The 19654-nt window shown below is 40.3% G+C and overlaps 1 protein-coding gene and 1 long non-coding RNA gene across 4 annotated transcripts in view, besides 4 other annotated features; one reads left to right on the forward strand and one right to left on the reverse strand.

Annotated features, from left to right (window-relative positions):
• Positions 1–16738, reverse strand: part of LRIG3 (leucine rich repeats and immunoglobulin like domains 3) — a 48350-nt gene extending 31612 nt beyond the window's left edge. For 2 of the 3 annotated variants that reach the window (NM_153377.5, XM_017018790.3), the window contains exons 1-3: positions 16234–16738; positions 10499–10570; positions 10216–10290 (exon numbers count right to left, since the gene is read on the reverse strand). In NM_153377.5, coding sequence (NP_700356.2) covers positions 10216–10290; positions 10499–10570; positions 16234–16469 — 383 coding nt within the window. In that variant the 5' untranslated portion in view covers positions 16470–16738. Of the gene's footprint in view, positions 1–10215; positions 10291–10498; positions 10571–15660; positions 15740–16233 lie in introns of those variants that run through there. The other variant, NM_001136051.3, reaches the window with a different exon arrangement.
• Positions 15635–15904: an enhancer, noted in NCBI's record as "active region_6570". NCBI's record gives its function as "activates an Ori minimal core promoter by ATAC-STARR-seq in GM12878 lymphoblastoid cells {active_cell/tissue: GM12878}" and the evidence as "EXISTENCE:reporter gene assay evidence [ECO:0000049][PMID:35858748]".
• Positions 16285–16364: a silencer, noted in NCBI's record as "silent region_4600". NCBI's record gives its function as "represses an Ori minimal core promoter by ATAC-STARR-seq in GM12878 lymphoblastoid cells {active_cell/tissue: GM12878}" and the evidence as "EXISTENCE:reporter gene assay evidence [ECO:0000049][PMID:35858748]".
• Positions 16785–16894: a silencer, noted in NCBI's record as "silent region_4601". NCBI's record gives its function as "represses an Ori minimal core promoter by ATAC-STARR-seq in GM12878 lymphoblastoid cells {active_cell/tissue: GM12878}" and the evidence as "EXISTENCE:reporter gene assay evidence [ECO:0000049][PMID:35858748]".
• LRIG3-DT (LRIG3 divergent transcript) overlaps positions 16938–19654 on the forward strand; it is a 210172-nt gene continuing 207455 nt past the window's right edge. The window contains exons 1-2 of the long non-coding RNA NR_183518.1: positions 16938–17024; positions 17633–17706. This is a non-coding gene — a long non-coding RNA (LRIG3 divergent transcript). The remainder of the gene's footprint in view (positions 17025–17632; positions 17707–19654) is intronic.
• Positions 17513–17622: a silencer, noted in NCBI's record as "silent region_4602". NCBI's record gives its function as "represses an Ori minimal core promoter by ATAC-STARR-seq in GM12878 lymphoblastoid cells {active_cell/tissue: GM12878}" and the evidence as "EXISTENCE:reporter gene assay evidence [ECO:0000049][PMID:35858748]".

Raw genomic sequence — 19654 nt, forward strand, 5'->3', positions numbered from 1 at the left:
TTCAGCTTTCTACATATGGCTAGCCAGTTTTCCCAGCAGCATTTATTAAATAGGGAATCCTTTCCCCATTGCTTGTTTTTCTCAGGTTTGTCCAAGATCAGATAGTTGTAGATATGCGGCGTTATTTCTGAGGGCTCTGTTCTGTTCCATTGATCTATATCTCTGTTTTGGTACCAGTACCATGCTGTTTTGGTGACTGTAGCCTTGTAGTATAGTTTGAAGTCAGGTAGCATGATGCCTCCAGCTTTGTTCTTTTGGCTTAGGATTGACTTGGCGATGCGGGCTCTTTTTTGGTTCCATATGAACTTTAAAGTAGTTTTTTCCAATTCTGTGAAGAATTGCCTTTTCTTTCATGTTTTAAATTTAGTACTTAAGCAACTTTCAGCCAAAGAGAGAGGAGGTGGTACTGCTAGAGCTCTGTTTCATTTCTTTGGTCTCCATCAAACGAGGACCCTGAACCTCTGCCCTATAGAAGACAACTGAGAAACCAAAATAAGGAAGAGAAGGGGGAAAAATAACTAGGCCAGGAGAGAGACACATGTTGAATCTTGCCATCCCAGTCATGAAAAGAAACTGGCTGTAGCTTTATTGTCTTGTCTCTCTTGGTAGAACAAGTCTCCTTTTGGCACAGAGAAGTCTCTTGGTAGAAGCTGTACCTGATACTTTAAAGCACCAACTGAAATGGCTATTACTAGAATGAAGGTGAGAGAGGGCATGAGGGAATAGTGTGGGTTCAGGATAAGTATCGGTAATACAAGAGTTTTTGTGGCAAGCTATACTGAAAAGTCAAGTCATGCAGGTGGGAATGAATTTTACGGGCTTCAAGAAACACCACAGAAAGGTTGCCCAAAATGGGTCATTGTCAAATCTAAAATTGTCATTACCTTGGAAAAAACAAGTCTTATTAAGGAAAACAATGGAGACACAGGAACAGAAAAGTTACCCATATATATTAATCTGGACTAAGCCATCCATTCATTCATCCAACACACATGTACTGAGCATCCACCATGGGCCAGGCACTATGCTACATGCCAGGGTTGCAATGGAGAAAATAAAAGACATGATCTCAGCTGCTGTAAAATTTCATTTTGGTGGGGGAAACTTCTTTTAAAAGAATAACAAATAGATGAGTAAAAAATACAATTACTTATATGATGATAAAGTAGACATTATAATAAAGAAGATATAAAAATGTATAAGGGGAAACCTAAGAGTCTGATTTAAACAGTGCAGGCAGGGTGAGTATTCTAGGCAGTGGGAAATACGTATGCAAAAGAACACAGGGCTGGAACAACCTGGCACATCTGGAGAACTGAGGAGTGACTCCAGAGACTGCTCAATGGGCCAACAGGATGCAGATCATGCAGAGCATTGTACGTCTTGAGAAGGATTTTTTTCTTCACCTCAGAGCAATGGGAACTGTTGAAGGGTTTAAGGAATCATGCAGCAATTACAAATTTATGTGTCAAATACAGTCATTCTAAATTGAGAATTCAAAAACCTAGCAACCTTGAATTCTGGGGGCCAGTTTATATTTAAATGTGAAGATAAACTTACAGTGTTTGTCACAAATACAGCTCTGTGTATAGTAAACTCTCTTTTATGTGTAAGTCATCTATAAACATTTAAAATCCAATAAAAGATTACAACTTATCATATTAAGACGTTTATGTGTTTATTTTGTAAGACTTGAGCTGCATAAGTTTATTTCCACTAAACGTAATATCTGGTTTGTATGTACTGGTGAAGGCTGCAGTCCCCTGCTGTGGTTTTAACATGTGTCCTCTCCAAAACTCACGTTGAAATGTAATGTTCAATGTGGTCGTACCGATAGGCCCTTTAAGAGGTGATTGCGTCATGAGGGCTCTACCCTCGTGAATGGATTAGTCTACTGATGAATTAATGGTTTAATAGATTAATGAGCTATCATGGGAGTGAGACTGGTAGCTTTATAAGAGGAAGAGACACCTGAGCTATCGTGTTCAGGCCCCCTTGACACAAGATGCCCTACACCGGCTTAGGGATTCTGCAGAGTCCCCACCAGCAAAAAGGTTCCCCAAATGAGGCCCATCAACCTTGGACTTCTCAGCCTCCACAATAAGAAATAAATTCCTTTTCTTCATAAATTAAAGACTCTATAGGTATTCTGTATAGCTTTCTGCATAGGTTTCAGGTATTCTGTTATAAGCACAGAAAATGAACTAGGACAACCTCTAATAAAATGATGTCCTTTACATGTGAAGCAAACAGCCCATTCATCTGCATCAGGAGAGCACACGTCCTAGATAAATTTGGCAGTAAAGATGTCAAATTCCATGGGTTTCTCTATACTCAGATCAGAGTATAAGGATGGGATATGGTTTCTGTCCACTTAATAAAAACAAAACTCTCCAATTTCCCCAGAAACTTAAGTTCTAACTGTGGCTAAAGCTGCTCCTCAACTTCCATAATTAATATGAAAAACTGATGACCACTTTTCAAATACTGAGTTATAAAAGTTCCCTTTTTTTAAAAAAGGTAGCAACTATTTGCGGTCTACTGCACGTTACTAAGAGATACCCTCACTTGAAAACACATTTAATGCTTGCCTTCCCTCTTTGCAACTTTACCTCTGAATTCAGAGCATATTAAAATATCAATATTACTTTAAAGTTATATGTTGAGTTTGATGAATTAAATAAACTCTGTGCCATGTACTCAAGCAACAGTCTCTCAAATGTTTCCCAAAGCTGTTTTTTTCATGGTCTGATTTTTGGAATGTAATGAGAAATGCACGCTTATGAATGAAATTCTCACTTAATATGATGCTGGGTTCAGTATATAAATAGCAGAATATTGCAGATCTGATTTGTGATCACTATGGCCAACTCTACCCTATTCATCATTCATAAGCCAACGCTCCTATGACTCCCACCTCGTGGCCAGTTTCCCTTTGTGAGAAAAAGAGATGTGGCCCTAACACATGGTAGGGCTCACAACACTGAACAGCTCCAGGGGTCAATGGAAAAGAGGCATTTGGCAAGTCAAAATTATTATCAAAGCCACATTTATTTGTTTTTATCCACTTGATTTTAAAAATTAAATGACTTTAATGAATGAAAATGAAATGACCTTTAGTACTATCAAACACAAGGAGAAAAGTAGATTCTTTGCTTAACTGTAGTCATTTTATTCCCCTGCTTAAAAAAAAAAAAAAAAGTCTTCAATGAAGACTCCCCAAACATGCAAACCACCTAAGCATGGAAGAAGCTTCCTGAGCTGATCCCTGCAAACTCACACAAGTTTCCTTCCTTCTCCACCTCACTTCCCCTCACGCTCCACACATCCTGAAACCTATGTGCTGGTACATGCCCAGGCATCTTCCACTGTCCCAGGCACACTCCACGTGTGCTATGTCTTTACCGTCTGTCTTCTCTCTTGTTCAGAGCACCTTGAAAGTGGAGGCCAAATCCTATTTTTCCTTGTTCCCTAGCACTTAGCACACAGTAGGCATTGTTGCTGGGCATTCTGAAGAGCTTGAAATTCACCTTATAGATACAAAAGCCCTCAGGCTACAAATATTGTTGTTATTTATAATTGAGTACCCACCAAAATTATTAGGAACCATGAAGAGAGAAGTTTTCCTGAAAATTCACCCCCAATGCAAAATGGTTTTTCCTTCCCTCATCTCTTGCTGCCAGGATAATGTTTCTAAATCCTGCATTCCTCCTGTGACCCTCCCATTCAAGAATCCACTTTGGCCCACTGCCTCCAGTCTCTGCTCCTCTGCCAAGCCCACCACAATGCAAAAGCAGCAGCTGCTGGCGCTCACATTTTCAGAACTCTTTCATGTACATTATGCCATTTGATCCTTTACCGGAACCCCAGGAGAGAGATGGGCAGACATCTTAGACTGTTTTCACAGATAAACAAAGAAAAGTTAATTAAGTCTGTCTAAGGTCAGACAGGTTAGTAGTGTGAGACGAGACGAAAACCTGTGCATCTGTGAGTCCAATTCCCAGCTCAGGGCTCTCTTCTAATGCACAAGGGCCCGTGATTTCTCTTGTCTACTCGATTCTTAGTGAGCACCTTCTGTGTGTCTGAGACTGTAGTGGGCTGAGGGGATTGAGAGCTCGCTAAGATAAAAGTTGGACCCTGGAAGGAGATGTGTGACCATGTCATTAGAGACTACACATGCTGTGCTTGTGAAAGCTTCAAAACTGGAAAAGAAAAATCGCCATCCTTGGGATTCTACAATAACTATAGTTAATGACATACAAATTGCCAATACTCCCTACCACCCAGTATTGATCTCTGTAGCACAGCAATGGGCATGACTGTCCTAATTTCCTGCATCCCCAAAGCATCTCCAATACAGAAGGATGCATGATGTGATGGAACCACATCTCGCGGCATTAGGTTCCAAGCCAGCAGATGGCGGAAAACCATGTATCATCAACACACCCTTGAAGATCTCTTATGACACCAGCAAGGTACTTTATGTAGACAGTCTTCCCCTCTCAATGAATCTAACATGGGCAGTTTTCCTTCAGTGTGGGAAGAGATCAGTGTGGAAAGAGGAGGGTTTTGTCACTGTTGTGCATTTTAAATTTTTAGTTCAGGGCCTGTCAAAGTAGTTCAGAAATGTGAAGGGCACAGGGGCCGTGAAAAAGCTGTATGCCTGAACACCAAAGTCACCCTCAGTGGGCTGAGATATTCATGCTTAGAAAGGCATATGGGAAAGGGGGCTTTTATTTCCCACCTCATACATACTCCAGGGCATACACTCACCAGCTAGGGTGGTCAGCTGAATCCTTGTGTTAAGTGACTTCTCTTGTTCTTTTTTTACTTTTAATTATTGCTGCTATTGTCAGAATTATTATTATTTTCTCAAGCATGCATAGTTGAACACAAGTTATGTAAAACGTAGGTATGCTGTTGCCACTGTAAATCTTTAGCCACTGGTTTAAACTAAGTGTATAGAAGGAGATCTGTCTGAATTACGCTAAGTGCAGCAGCATGTGGTTATTCCATGAATATTCTTTAATTCATACATTCATAGATAATGTAATTCATACATTAATTAAGCACTAACTTATGCCATATACCTGCATTAAGTGCTGAGGAAAAGAAGAGTTAGCTACAGAGGCCTCAAAATACAGCAGAGGATAAAAATATAAACAAAATTATTTAATTACTGCGTAAGTTGGATATACAAGGTAAGATGGGCCTGAATGTGGCAGGGCAGGCTCAGCAGAGATGACTCAATGTCCCCAGAAACACACACAACTCCCTCCCTCACTTTCAGTCCCTGATTCAAGTATCTTCCTCCTGGCAAGCCTTTCTCTACATCCCCATTTAAAACTGTAAAACCCCTCTTTGGCCACATGCTTCCGACACCTCTTCCCTGCTGCTTCTCTCCAGGACTTAATCCCCTTCTGATCACATCTCTTATTTATTTTTTGTGTTTCTCCTTCCATGAGCAGGTCAGCTATAGAGGGCAGGGATTCCTGTCTGCTTTCTGAATCCTAATCTTAGAACAGTACCCAGAACATAGTAGGATTTGGTAAATATGTGCCTTTCCTGACTACATTAAAGAACAATTGCCAGAGCTCTCTAATCCCTTCATTCTCCTTTCTTTCTCTTCATAGCATTGATCATGAACTGATGTTATCTTTTCTTTTCTTCATTTATTTTTCTCTCCTCACTAGAATGGAAGCCTCAGGCGTCAGGATAAGAGGGAGTTTGTATGCTTTTTCACTGGGTGTCCTAGCACTTAAAAGAGGGCTTGGTACATAGTAGATACTCAAAACATTGTAGTTGAATGAATCGTCATCCTTATCACAGCTCACATTCACTGAGCACTCAGTACATGCAAGACAGCTTTACCTGTATTCCCTGTATCTTCACAATAACTCTATGAGATAGACATCAGCATTATTCTCATTTTAGAGATGACTGACACAGTCAGTCAGTAACTTGCCCAAGGTTACAAACCTGGCAAAGGGTGGAGCCAAAAGTTAATTCCAGGCCACCTGACTTGAGCTTTACTTTTAATCACTGTTCTACTGACGTGACTTCACTGAAGAACAGGCCACCATGGCTTCTCAGCCATCATGTGGTTTAATTATCTGCCCCTCTAAACCATCCTCCTGCCACCTCCAAGTCATTTGCCACACTAAAGACAGTATGACATTTTCAAATAGCAGCTCTGATCATGTCATTCTGCTTTACGTCTCTTCAATGGCTTTCCATTGGTAGAGTACATGTTTCGGTGTCCTACCAGCAAAGGTAATCAATATATATAATAACCTCTCTGGAATGATGACAATGTCACCTCTGGGAAGATGACAGGCTATAAAGACAATGATGGACTAAGAAATGCTTTACTTTTGAGATAAGAAATAAAGAGAAAAGGCTTAGTTGATTATGATATGACCTTTATCAGTAATTCTAGAAATATTTATGCAATATCTGATAAGAATATTGCATATGTTAAAATGGATACTCCTGGGCCCCACCCAAATCTACTAATTTAGAATCTCTAGGGATAGTGTCTGATAATCTAACCAGCACCCTGGCAGGGCGCGGTGGCTCACGCCTTTAATCCCAGCATTCTGGGAGGCTGAGGCGGGCGGATCATGAGGTCAGGAGATCGAGACCGTCCTGGCTAACACGGTGAAACCCCATCTCTACTAAAAATACAAAAATTAACTGGGCGTGGCAGCATGCGCCTGTAGTCCCAGCTGCTGGGGAGGCTGAGGCAAGAGAACGGCATGAACCCGGGCAGCGGAGCTTGCAGTGAGCTGAGATTGAGCCACTGCACTCCAGCCTGGGTGACACTGCGAGACTCCGTCTCAAAAAAAAACAAAAACAAAAACAAAAAAAACAAGTACCCTAGGTGCCTCTTTGACAGTCACTGACCTAACATTCTTCAACTCTAGGACACCAGGCAAGCATCTGCATGCTGGGTAACACTATATAAACCATTAGCATCAAGACTAAGACCCAACTAGCTCCGTTTAATAACCAACAAGGCTCTTTTGTTCAACTACAATGCTGTAGAACTCACAGATTCAAACTTCCCTAACCCAAGGCACAGATTTCAATCATGTCCAATGCTCGAGCAGGTCATTCCACACCACGCAAAGCCAGAGTTCATACATTCAGAAAAATCAACTCCCTCATGTAAGCCAGGTCAATAGAGTTTTACTGTAAGATATGTTCATTCCAAAGACTATTCCACTTCTTTAAAATATGTCATCCTGCAATAGCTAGGATATTGTGAGAGAAAAATTTAAAAAACATACAAATCATGCCTTGCACCTAGCACACTGGTTGACTTCTGAGCTAGTTCTGTGTGGGATTCAAAGGAAAGCATGTCTATTCAGGCCTTGTGCATGCTAAAAAGGTTAGAGATGAGCTTTGTTAGTGGGAAGATTATCGCAGATTCCTATCATCCCAGATTCCCTGATATTATGAGAATAGGTCCCTAACTGAATTTGTCTCTGGACATGCGGTACCCTTTGATCTAATTATCAGCTCCTGGCTCCTATAGCTAAGAGAAGACAAAAGTCTCACCAGGACAGTCTTCTCTGCATGCAGCCCCTCCAGCTGGGAGGGGTCTTCATGGCACAGAGTAGAAAGAGTATGGAGCAGTAATATTAAATCCTATGGTTAAGACTTCAACTAATTACTCATTTTCTTTACACACAAGCTTTCAAACTATTTAACCTGTGCAAATAACTCATAAAAATGTTTTCCTCTGCAAAATGTAAAAGATACAAACAAAAAACAACCACAAAAAACTCTTAATATGAAAGTCAAATCATTCTAAAAACTACTTTGAAAGATATGAGATTTAATTGTGACGCTACAGCAAGTTTTCAATCTGTGTCATGTTATATAACTTAACAGATTTTTTTTAATCTCAGAAAAGCATTTAAGAACTCATTTTTAGCTTTATTTTCAAGTGTTTTTATATAAAAGAAAATGTTTTACTCTACACAACACAAATTAAAAGTGCTTGAGAAACAATAATTGTATATTACAATATCCAATCAAGCCTGCAGGAGGAAACAAAACATTCGTAGATGAAAACAACCAGAGAGGTAAATTTTTCAAGATATTTCATAGGTATAAAAAGAAGTTTTTACTCTCCACATTGAATTATCAGGCCCATGATATAAATTACTCTTCGCAGAGTCTATGTAATCTAGGTAACACATTGGATGTATCATTATGTGAGACGAACAAAGCAATCACTGGCCAGAGGTATTGTAACACATTAAGGAGAAAGAAAGTGAAATTATTCAGGGTGATTTCACACCCAGCACTTGCTAAAGTGAAACACAAAAACAATATGGAGAAGAGGACAAATTTTAAAGGAGCACAAATTTCTAACTTTTGAGAGATCATTGTAGCTTTCTAATTATAAGTTATAACGTTAAAGTGTAAAACACTAGGGGCTGGGCGCAGTGGCTCACACCTGCAATCCCAACACTTTGGGAGGCCGAGGCGGGAGGATTACGAGGTCAGGAGATCGAGACCATCCTGGCTAACACGGTGAAACCCCCTCTCTACTAAAAATACAAAAAACTAGCCGGGCGTAGTGGCGGACGCCTGTAGTCCCAGCTACTTGGGAGGCTGAGGCAGGAGAATGGTGTGAACCCAGGAGGCGGAGCTTACAGTGAGCCAAGATCGTGCCACTGCACTCCAGCCTGGGCAACAGAGCAAGACTCTGTCTCAAAAAAAAAAAAGTATAAAACACTAGGTTACTTATAATTTTCTAACTTCCTCACAAGTTCTTAATGCTCTCAACGCTATACCATGCCAAAGAGTAGACTGCTTTCCCCATGCTGCCCAGATTACAAAACTGCACTGCAGATCCTCTCAGCCATGAAGTATGCCATGACCCTCAAGCTCTCTTAAACATACTGACAGAATCTGCCAATATGCAGTGCGAGGACAGCAAGAGCAAAGTGGAATTTAAAAAGGCCACCTTGGTCAAACAAGAATAGCTGCAGATGTTTACGATACCAAAACCAGCACTCCATTTAGATTCTAAAATTTTAAGCAATTGTAAAAGACAAAGAAAAAAGGTATTTATGCTAGCATAAAAATGTTTTTTAAATACAGTGTTTATTTGTCAAATACCGACTGCTTTTTCTTTCACTCCTTTCTGTTTCTGATCTTTGGAAAAACCACATCAGTATCAAATGTCACTTAGCTCTTATTCAAACAGAGGAAAGCAGACACAGCGGCTGCACCCGTGACTTAGCTGACCTGGGCCCTCAGTAAAAACAAACCTCTATAAATCACCAGATGTAAGCAATTGGGTAGTGATCACTCTATTAATTGAACAGCTTTCCTGAAATTTACTGTATAATTTCAACCCTCCCAACACCTCTCTCAGAAGCAACTAACAATGGTGGTTTTTTCCTTAAGTTGCTTAAAGAAAAACATTTTTTAACATCAGTAGCTTAAATATATTTTTAAATTATTTAAGATTAAGGTGGTAAGCTAATTAGATTTTAGAAATTAAACCACAGGCATTCTAAATGCTACCTTTAAATGCTGAAAGTCAGAATTATTCCAAAACCTACGTCAGTGCATGTATATACAACGTTACCTACACTAAAAATACAGAAAACTTGGTACAACCTTAATTGTATTTGAAAACTCATATTTGCAAAACAACCTGCAAAGTTATTTCTGTCTTCAGTCACATATTTACTTTTTTTGAGTTGATGTCTCTGAACTCTGATTTACACTGCAGGTACCACACTTAAAACAGGATACTCCAATGGCTTATTCTCAACTCCGGTTTCTCCTCACAAAGCAACTCTGATCATTCTCCACTAGGAACTACGTAATACATAACCCACAGATCCCCATGCCAACCATTGAGCGATACTAAAATTAAAGTCCTAGTCTACAGAATACGATAAAATACACATTTCTATGGTGTAAAGCTGGCCTCTTTGAATCTCGAAGACCAGTTCGGCAACAACAGCAAAGTGTAAAGTGTGTTGTTATAAGAATACATGAAATTTAGCAGTGAGAGAGTTAGAGGCTAGAAAACAAGTTAACCAATTTAAAGCGCGTATCTTTACTATGCCCTGAAAAAAATATTCCATTTTTTTCTTCTAAGATCTCTATGCTAGTCCCTATGGAACTCCCACTCAAGGTTCCTGCAAACATACATGAGGAATTCTGCTGATATTCACTTACAAGGAGAGAAGTGTAATATTTGCCGAGACTGGTCCCAGATTTGGAATGGTCTCCAATTCATTGTTGTTCAGTTTCCTACAAATGCCAAAAAAAAAAAGAAAAAGAAAAGCTGATTAGGTAATCTGTAATTCACAGAGGTGAAAACTTTACATATTATTTCAAGATACCACCCAAGTTAAAAGTTTTGAATAACTCACTATAATCCAAGTATTCCTTACGGTTAAATAGTATAAGGGGTAACGTATTTTACTCAAACCTTAAAAACAAAATAACGAAGACTCACACTTCTCGAAGGCTTTGAAGGTGGCTCATGGAACTTGCCTTGATGAAAGATAATCTGTTGTGACTTAAGTCCCTATAAGAAAACAAAAATAAAATTATAAGTCATTTCTAAAAATCACTAATAGTGCTAACTGGGCTTATGAAGTATCTCTATGAACACCAGTGAGAGCAGGAGAAATAATTGGTCTATTCTGTCCACAAACTAGATGGCAACCAAAATGCCAAACTCAAAAATACAAGCTCCAAGGACAAAATTAGTTTAGGGAGACTGGCAGATTCAAATACTTTAAGCCCACAAATGTTTTAAGAGATGTTTTTTTGGCACGTGGTGAACAGATCTTTTGTGAACTGGCAGGTCTGCTTCACCCTCCCATCTCCCCACTCCTAACCTGATATGATGACATCATGGTTTAAGAAAAGGAGCTAATTAGGCAGGTTGCTGAAACTAAAGCCTCTATAGAAATCTTTTTATTGTCATACATTTAAGCATCAATGTCCTTATTGCAGTCAAGGAAAACAGAAATTGCTTTGCATACATATTTGTTTCTCTGCGTTAAAGCACCAAATCATTTAAAGCATTATTTTGTGTGTGAGTGTTGAGAGGGTAGAAAACAATCTGAACCCTCTGCTTTCTTAAATTCCCCAAATATCAATATCTGATAATATAAAATTTAAACCACATCGCCATCTAACAAAGTTCAGCAGATTGCACAAAAACTTGTGAACAGATTTCAATCATTAAAATAAATGTGCTTCTTACTCAATAACTCAATTTAACTTAGTAACAATTTCCATAGAACATCATTACTATTAAAAACAATAACAAACTCATACATATACAATACTCTAGGCTAGAAAGTCATCTCATTTAAGATTCAAAATATGGAACAAATTCCAGCAAATATTCTTGGTTATATTCCCCATATGTGTTAACACATTGACTATGTGCCTTCAAAATAGTGTAATAAAAATGAAATGGTTCCAGAGTGATGAAAAACCGGGATAACAAATAGTATGGCTTGAAGCTTCCCACTGAAAGGGTTATCCAACCCATACTAATTTTTTTGGTGTTTAAAACGGAGTTTTTTAAATAACCAAAGTTGATTGGAGAAAAGCATGAATTATTTGTTATATGCATAAGTACACCCCTCCTAAAAAATAAATAAAGAGAAATCACCTCCAGAGAAGCACAGTGTTACTCAGTGTTTAGTTAACAATTAGAAATCAGAGTTCCTTTCAGTCTTTGAGTTTCTGTTTTGAGAATAAACCTGGATTCTCTTTTTCACCTAAAAAAAAAAATCTGCAAGGTTTTATTTGAAGTATGTTTGCCCAAAGACCTACCAGACAGTGACAGACATGAGTAGATTTGTTCTGGTAGAGTTATAACATGAAAAAAATCTGGCACAGTCTTTAAACTATAAAAATCCTGCAATTACAACCACTGCTGTGCATGCTCACCACGCTGGCTGGAGCCAGACACTTTCCCTTGCAGCCCAGCTCAAGTCCATCTGGAGTTCATCAAGGAAACCGTGAGCCCAACAACTCACGTTAGGATTCAAACAAAACCTGTGTGCTTTTAGCACCCCAGACAGTCACAGATTTCCCACATGGTTTAAAAAACAACCAAGGAAAAGAGTCTTTCACCTGGGAGGTAGCCTGAGTCAACAGAAAGTCTCATTTGGACCCACTTAACTAAAGAGCATTGAGCCAGCGTAAAACTGCATCCCCTATTGTTTCAGGTCTTAAAAAGAAAGGGGAAGCAATCTGGCATTAATATTTAACACAGGTGATTCTCTTTTTAATTAAAAATAAAAAAACACTAAAACTGAGGATTAACTTCATTTTAAGGATTATTTCACAGGGCAATCCTGTGAGAGAAATGAGACGGAGTGCTTAACTTTTTTCAACTAGTAATGGGATAAGATTCCTCCTACAAAAGACCTGTAAAAAATAAGAAACTCCCTTCAGAGACCAGTGCACATGCTGGGGACCCCTCATTTCTGATCCAGAAGCAGGAGCTTGAAACTTTGAATATTTCAGTTATTGCAACACATTTCCATTCTTGAGTTTTGTGTACTATTAAAACTACATTATATGTAGGAGGAAAAAAAACACCCCTTAAATGACATTTACTGCTAAATACTTACAGCTATGAAACTTTTAGTGTACCTAAATTTAGATTTAATATAGTTTACATTTGAGAAATGATTACTTTCCAGTTAAGGGATGTCACATTTTCCTAAATCTTCCTTACATTGTTTTTATGGCTAGACCATTAAAAACAGATTCAAGTTGTACAACGTCGATGTTTTCTTAAACCCAGATCATAAAACATTCAATAAGAAAGGCAGATTCTTCATGTTTAGAGTTCCATTAATAGCATCTTCCCCACAAAACTTTTACAAAAACTTTTTGTAGTGGGGTTAATGAATGGGAAAGGTAGTAAGGTACGGAAGTGTTAACTGTACCCAGAGCTCAGCTGGCCAACACTTGAAAGTCAAACTCTTTCTATATGGTTAGACAGACTTCTCTCTTCCTGAATATTAGCAAATGAATAAATATATATGAAAATAATCAATTTGCAACATTTGGTTCAAGCTGTCATTTTCTTCCTTTTAGCATTTGGAAATCTGACTTCCAAGTCAAATTTTAAATGCAAATCCAGCACAGCTTCTTAAGCAATCCCACTGGGGCCTGCAGAGCTGCTAATTCAGCACAAATCTGGAAAGCTGAAAAACAAAAAGCCAGGCTATAGCTGTTTTAAGACACTGATCCAAAGTGACTCATAAATCAGCCTGCTATATTCAAGTTTTAGTCTGGAAAATACAGAAAAACAGCTGTGAAAACCATAAGGACTATTACCCCCACCCCACCCCCAACTGTGGTCCGGACCATAAGATTTATAACAGGTCAACACTAAAGAAGTCACACCAGCAGAAACTACCTTTGGGACTTTCGCCTGGGTCCTGTTGAGAACTCAAACATTTCTACATAAGACAAATAATTCTGAAATGCCAGTGAGAATTTAATAATACTGGAAGTTCTCATTGGCAATTTAGCAACTTTTCCGTCTCTGGGCTAAATAACATTCTAACAAGCATTCCTCTTTAGGTTGAGAACTGTTTAAGCGCAAACTCTTGACATAAACTCTAGCTTGCCTTTAATGGCAGTTGTGAGCAAGGCTTGGCGTAGTTACTGGGTTGTTTTTTTTTAGACAAAGTCTCGCTCACATAGTTACTCTTTAAGAGCCACTTTCATTAAAGCATTAGAGGTTATTTTCTAAAAGGAGTACTGATACAGTATTATTATTTTACAGCTCAAACTATTCGACTTTTCACACATGGGACTCCTATAGTAATAAATCACAACCAAATAAAGTGGAAAAAATACATACACACGTAATTTTTCTTAAACTTGCAAATTCAACAAATGAAACAAAAGATAGACACTGAACTTTTTCTGAAAAGTGCTTTCATAAGCCAGTCCAAAGACAAACTCCTACTATTTTGATTACCCAAGGAAAGGGAAGGTAAGATATGGGGAACAAAAACATGCATTTTTCTATTTATATCTGAACTCGGAAATCATCTCCTTAAGACGATTTTTCTAATTACGAAAAACTTTAGTAGCTTTTTAGACCACCTATTCTAAAATACCAAATAACAGAGAAAGTAAAACTCAATTCCACGTGTTTTTCTGCTCCTTTCAAAAGTGGAAAGAGGAGACCTCTAGAGCTTTAGGTACAAACAAAAGAAATATTTACAATAAAGAATCCAGACCACATGGTTTGGTGACACCTACAAAGATGGTTAAAAGTCACAGAAGTACAGGAATGACAGAGCTGTCCAATAAGTGATCACAGCAGGGTTCCTGACAACAGACTGAGTGCTTATTTATACAAGTGGAACTTATTTTCACATACATTTAAGGAATGTGGGCTAGTATTGAGACAATTTACTGCTGGTGGAAATGTAATTAAAGACTGTGCTAACCAAATAAACTCTAATTTGTTTTTAGTGTGCCACCAAATTATCTGCAAAACAAAATCCTAATTAGGTCAGCTACTTTTAAGACAATGTTTAAATAGGTATCGAACCCCTTTTGGTTCAACTCAACTTCTGATCAAGGGCAACACAGATTTTTTTTCTAAACATCTAAATCCAGGAAAAAAGAAAAAAAGTACTGCACACTAGCATGATCACAATAGACAACTTGACATTGAAAAACTATCGAATACAAGTTAGATGCCGTGAATAATCTAAGCATATCTAAATACACTCCAGGAAGCACTGTATTCATTTTCTCTTTCTCATCCCTCTATTATTCCTAAGTGTTCACCTCCAGTCATTTACATGTTCAGTTCCATATGTTGTCAATAGAGCCATTCACTCATGAATAAGGCAGCATGACCTCCACAAGAGGCAATTTAACAGAATTAGCCACAACTAATTGAAAGTCTCCCTGCTTTCGGTTAAAGACCTTATCTCCTCTTCCAATTGCAATAAAAACTACTAAATAAAACGTCCCAAGAAATTAAATATCAATCCAATACTAATTCTACTTTATTAAACTAAGGCTTATTAAAAACACAAGGAATATACTTTCTGATGGCCAACAATTCTACATTCACAAAAGTTATTTAGATTAGCACAATAATTTTAAAATATAAATTCTTAAACACCTGACCAAACCTCCTACCACATTAGGGCATTGGAATAGTTCACTAGAATTGTTTTAAAAACTTAAAATTTTCATTGCAATTCTGCTAAGTCAAAATATAAGATTACGTATGAAGTGCACTTTTATTTTAAACAGAACAACTACTTTAAAAAATACAAATTTTGATTGTTTACTTTTTACAGCACTCCAATTTTAAAACTGGGACTGAGGAAGAAAAGAGATGACATTTGGAAAAGATCAGCATTTCCAACTAAATTACATTTTCTTCCTTGTTCTTCACGCAGTTGGCAGTGATTTCAGGTTTTCAGACTTCGCAGCTAAAAATCCAAAAACTTGCATAAGAGCTCCCTGCGCTCTCCCCTAAACCGTCTGGGCGTTCTGAGGAGCTACAGAAATCACGCCCTTGATTCTGGATAATCGAGTTCCGCCCTTTCCATAGCTACCGACCAGTCTTTACAATCTGGTTGAGGAGTGGGAACTTACGGTCTGCTAATGTGAAAAAGCAAGCAGAGGGAGAACAACAGAAGTACGTCCACCATAACTTGGAGAATGACCGAATTCTGTTGAGGGGGCTTCCCAAATGAAAAGCCTGACTTCAGTTACTGGGTGGGAACAGGAAAAGGAGTCTGACGCAGCTAGAAACTAAAACTGAACCAGACTCATAACTCAGCGAGAACTGCAAACTCCTGATGTGTGCAGGTTGCCGCTTATCTCCCCTGGGCCTGGCAGGAGCAAGCATTTGAACCCCTTGGCTAGCTTAGGGCGCAGGACTTCATCCCCAATCTCTGGCGTCGTTACTGGCCCCCAACCCTGGTCTACCTGCAGCCAGTTAGGACGCGCCAAGAGCCCACCTGCGCCGCCCGCAAAGCACGTGGGAGGGAAACTGAGGCCCGGACAGTTCTTTTTCCACGCCCACGGAGCGCCGATCGCGGCCTGGGCCAGAAGGAGCTATACGGCAAAAAGGGGACTGCACGCCGAACCCCATTCCCCGCCGGCTCCTGTTTTCTCGAATCTCCAGCGGCCCGGGCCCCCTCCCCCCGCGGGAAGAATACTTACAGCCGAGCGACCCAGGACGGGAGTGGCTCGGGAAGACGCGCTAGCCGCTTACGACTGCAGTCCAGCAGGTCCCCGAGGCAGCGGCAGGTAGTGGGGCATGGGCGCTCGGCGGCTACCCCAGAGGGCTGCCCGAGTTCCCCGCGACCGCCGCTGTCTGACCGGCCAGCGCGCCCCAGCACCGCGCACAGCAGCAGCCCCAACCCCGCGGCGCGCGCACGGAGGCTCGGCGCGCTCATCGCGGTCCAGCGGCCTAGGTCTCTACCCGAAGCTCCCAGCCGGCGCGCGCTCGGGGCCCGGCACAAACTTCCAGCCGAGGGTGCACGCCCGCCCTCGCGGTCGCGTGCGCGCTCCTCCCTCGCGCTGCCCGGTCAATTCCTTCTTTTACTCCCGGCGGCGAAGCCCTTTCATGCCCCCAAACAGCAGGAGGGAAACCGAAAAGAACTGCCAACTGCAACAGAGTTGCAGCTTGAGCAGCGTCGGCTCGCCGAAGCCCCTTCTTGTCTGCAAAAGAAACTTTTTCGCCTCCACCCCGCGGCACTGCGCCAAGTCCCCGCGCGGCGGAGTAGCAAGGCGGGCGGGTAGAGGCCGACGCGCGCCCATTGGCCGACTCGGCTGCGGGCGTCCCCGTGGCCACGTGACAATAACACCGCTCCAGCCGGGGGCCTACGCGCGGGAGAAAGTGGAGCTGAGATTGTAGGAAATTCAGAGTTATATTTTCCAGCCTCTCCAGCCAGAAGTCTCCACTACGTCGTGGGAAACATATATCAAATGGAGTTGAAAGGCAAAAGGAAGTGAGCAAATACTGGGCTAGTTCTCGGAGTTGGAGGTATTTAGGAGAACTTCAGGGAAGTAAAGTTTAATTAGCAGTGTTTTCAGGAAACTTTTCAATTCCAAATTAAAGACACTGATAAATTATCCTACCATCCACAGATGAAAGAGTGGTTTCAATGAAAACAGCTCTTTCAACGTTAATGCTGGTGGGTGTTCCCCCATACATCGGCTTCAAAAGTAAAAACAATAATAAAACGTAAAACTCGTGGTTTTGGAAAGTGTATATTGAATTACAAATAGCCAGCCTTCGTGCACTGGATAAAGCTGGGCGGGGTGGGGGATGGGAGATGACCTTCTAATAGACCTCGATGGCAATCATAGATTCCTGGTAATAGTAATAATAAAAGTAGTCACAGTGACATTTCAAAGTAAAATGAAAACTAAGACCTTGGAGGAAAAAATTAGTATATGCACCTTGGTCCACTTGCGCTTTGAGTAATGACACATGTTGATTGAGAATGCTACCAGGGTAAAAGTACCTCCCGGCCTCCTCAGCTGGGGGAGTGGATGTTTGGGGCTGGATTCAGGCTACAGGACTTCCCAGTGAAGTTTGTTCCTTAACTTACAGGTGATCAGCGCCACAAGATGTTGAAACTAATGGAGACCGCAGAGATCATGTGCTAAGGGGCCTTCCTCCTCTGGGTAAGGAAATAGACCTAGAGAACGTAACTAATGTGTTTGTTGCAAAAAAAATAAAAATAAAAGCAAGACAGAAAACATGAACAAACCAAAAAACAAACCCTGGAAGCTTAAAGTAAGTTTTCACTTCTATACATTGTTTATTGCATGCTGTCTGCCCAAGCTTGTCTGTCCTTGGAGTTGCGTAAACTGCTCATGATTGAGGAGTGGAGATAGCTTGTGGAGTTGAGACTTTAACCCTGACTCTAAGGCCCATTGATTTTTCACTGTAGCAAATCACTCCCACTTACGGGGGAAGGAAAAGACTCACTTTGAAGTTAACACACCCTATTTTAGATATGGTATCCCATTTTCTTATTTCCAGCTACCATTAACAACAACGCTACTACCTTTTTGGATGATGTATAATTATAATTAGAAAATATCTATAATGATGGCACCTTGGTTTTGAATTTATGATTTTGTCTGCTTGGGAGTAGACAAAACACACTACAGTCATAGTAAGGATTTTCCAGCTCAGTATCCCCCATCTATTTTTATTTATTTTTTTTATTTTTTTATTTTTGAGATGGAGACACTCCAGTCTGTCACCCAGGCTGGAGTGGGGTGCAGTGATGCGATGTCGGCTCGCTGCAACCTCTACCCCCTGGGTTCAAGCAATTATCCTGCTTCAGCCTCCCAAGTAGCTGGGATTACAGGTGCCCACCACCACACCCGGCTAATTTTTTTGTATTTTTAGTGGAGACAGGGTTTCACCATGTTGGCCAAGCTGGTTTCTAACTCCTGACCTCAGGCTATCCGCCCGCTTTGGCCTCCCAAAGTGTTGGGATTACAGGCGTGAGCCACCACACCCGGCCCCCCATCTATTTCATACAAGGAAAATTAGGTATAATTCATTGAAGTTTTTAAAAAGAAGAAAGATTCCATTGTACACATGCCATTATGCATAAGCAAGGTAACATCAGTATGGAGGCTTGCTCTTGAGACATGAGACATATGACAGGGATATAAATGTGCTACCATTTTGGGGAGTTTTGGCTCATTTCCTTTTCTCATTCTTTATTCTCCTTGTATAATTTCATCTTCTTCCATGAATTCCATTTACATTTACATGCTGACATATACAACATCCATATTTCAGCCCAGGTCTTTTTCCTAAACTCGAAATCCATATGTGCAATTACCCACAGGTCATTAAAAATTGGATGTTCAAATGTAACATGTCTAGAATTAAATTTCACCACCCTTGAAACTGACTTGTTTCCTCCTGAATTCACTGTCTTAAAGAGTGGATACTTCCCTCCATCCAGATGAATGCCCCAGAAACCTGAAAGTCACCTTAACATTACTTCATTCTCACCACCACCACCACCACCACCAGAGTCAATCAATTAGCAAGTCATGTTAAAGCTAGCTCCTAAATGTATCTTCTCTCTGTAGAAATTATGCAAATCCAGACCACCAGCAGCTCTTGCCACCTATCAGGCATTCCACTGCTTTCTCCTCAGGGCAGTTAAGTGATATCTCTGAAGGTCAAATCTGAGCCTGTGACTCAACTGACCAGTTCTTTTCTTGGGTTCCTAGTGTCTTGAGAATAAGGTTCAAATTCTTTAGAGTGACTTATACAGTTTTGTTTGTTTGTTTTGGCATTGAGCCTCTATTTATCTCTTTAATTCATTGTCTTTCATCATTTTTCTCCTACTCTAGGAGCTACTTGCAATTCTCTTCCCAGCTGTACTCTTGCCTTCAGCCCTCTTGCAAATGGTTCTTCTGTCCAAATCATTCTCTGCTCCTTCTTCTGCCTGGTTGATGGCATTCCTTCTTTGGCAAACACTTCCCTGAGTCAGGTTTAACTATCTATACCTCCAGTATACTTCCAGCACATCAGTATTGACTGGAATGTAATAGACCATTTTCACTCTAACCCCCAGGTAATACTACAGAATTTTCC

Source organism: Homo sapiens, chromosome 12 (assembly GCF_000001405.40).
Source record: "Homo sapiens chromosome 12, GRCh38.p14 Primary Assembly".
Taxonomy (NCBI): domain Eukaryota; kingdom Metazoa; phylum Chordata; class Mammalia; order Primates; family Hominidae; genus Homo; species Homo sapiens.